The 1,922-nt window shown below is 35.4% G+C and overlaps 1 annotated feature.

Annotated features, from left to right (window-relative positions):
* Positions 536-830: a silencer, noted in NCBI's record as "tiled region #819; HepG2 Repressive non-DNase unmatched - State 24:Quies, and K562 Repressive non-DNase unmatched - State 24:Quies". NCBI's record gives its function as "represses a minimal TATA promoter and a strong SV40 promoter by Sharpr-MPRA in HepG2 and K562 cells {active_cell/tissue: HepG2 | K562}" and the evidence as "EXISTENCE:reporter gene assay evidence [ECO:0000049][PMID:27701403]".

Genomic DNA, 1,922 nt, shown 5'->3' on the forward strand with positions numbered 1-1,922 from the left:
CAGAACAGAGAAGGAAATTTGTAAACCCTATCCTCCAGGAACTTACAACACAGTTGAAGAAAGAAGATACAATCACTTAAGAAAGAATCCTTTATCCCTTTTCTTATTACTCATTTCTCTAAATCTGATCTAAAAATATTCATTTTTTTCTCCAAGAAGCTGAGCAGGCAGTAACATCGAAGAAAATACTTTCCTTTAATATTCTGTTGTTCTTCCTTGGTTACAATTTTTATTTCATTGGGTTTTTAGCCCATACCAACCTAAATAGTCTCCTTCATTAATCCTCTCTGCCTCTTTCAACTCTCCTACATCATTGATGCTGGTTTTGCAAGCACACACACAAAAAAATTTCTAGCAAGCTGCCATCACTGAATCATACCAGTTCTGATCTTTTGAGAACAACTTGGATTTCACAAATGTTTGTTAATCATGGTTTCGATCGAAAGGGAAGAGCTTCCGGTTTTTATTTCTTGCAAGCTAACGTTTCCCACTCTCATCTGGCTGCAGACAGTTTCATAAACAAGACTTATTCATATTTATTATTTTGCTAAAATTAGCAGGATGTTCAGTCATGGGTGTTACCAGAGTCTTAGGGAATTGCACTTTTCACTTTAAGGCAGGATGGCTTTGTGATGGATGGTTCCCTGGGCTCTTTCGACTGTGCTTTCTGCTGTTTCTTTCTCCAGCCCATTGCATGCTGCTGTTTATCTTGCAAAATGTCTGACAATTGAGAGCAGAGACAAAAGCACTTAGAGCTAGATGGAGCTGGGGAAAGAGAGAGAGAGGGAAAGAGAGAGAGAGTTCAAGTAGATCAACATGTTCCTTGAGATGCGATGAGCTGGTTCTAATTCATGTATCAGATACTGTGCCTAGATTACCTTATTTAGTCCTCATTATAGCTATATGAAATAGATGCATTTTACAGATAAGAAACTGAGGCTGGAGGAAGTGAAATACCGTGTTTTAAGTCTTGTGATTCCTAAGGAGCAGAGAGCCCTGTTTCAATACTGGGTGAGTCTGGAATGGCTCTCTGTCCTTTGCATTCTCCTACAAGATGCTGCGCCCCCTATTGAGCCCTTGCCACGGAGGACTGTCATTGTCTTTTTGTTCTTTCTCTCAGCTAATCTCTGAACTCATAAAAAATGTGGATTCTGTCTTTTCTCCATCCCAAGAATCTACCTCAATTCCTGGCACATTGTGAATGCTCACTAATATTGGTGGACAGGAAAAATGAATGAATACATCTGTATGCCCTGCCTACCTCAAAGATTGTAACCATCACATATAATAATATACAGGAGACATTTGTAATCCTGAAATACTACATAATGTAAAGGTTGATGTTGACATGGGTATCTCTTGTGTCTTTATTACTAGATTGTATTTTTTGAAAAAAATACTGTATTCTACCAATATTTGTGTCTTCTACATTGACTAGCTGAATCTTAATAGTTGGAGATATTTAATAAATATGAATTGATTCAATAAATTTATGATGGTTTATAAAAGCAAGATATAAAAAGCCCATGACTAGCTTTTTGTTATTAAAAGATCACTCTAGCAAAAGGGAAAGATATTTGGAAGGAGGCAGACACAAAAATAATGGGGAGAACAGATCAGAAGATACAGAAGATAAATTAGGAAGTCTTGACCCCAAAACATGTCAAAAGGCATCAGTTGAAACAATGTTCTCATTATATATCAGTCTAATCTACAAAGATATAAAATTAAAATCTATAGGAATCAGAATAATAATCACTTATGTATGTGGAGGTATTGAATACTTTTCACATAGTCATAAGTAAATTTAGGCACTTTTTAAAAATAAAATGCTAAAAAAAGGACATGAAAACAATTTTCTCAAAATAGTTATTTTTGTTACAAAGCTTTTGCAATAAAAAAAAAGACTATCCTAATTAGCA

This window comes from Homo sapiens, chromosome 12, assembly GCF_000001405.40.
Source record: "Homo sapiens chromosome 12, GRCh38.p14 Primary Assembly".
Taxonomy (NCBI): Eukaryota; Metazoa; Chordata; class Mammalia; order Primates; family Hominidae; genus Homo; species Homo sapiens.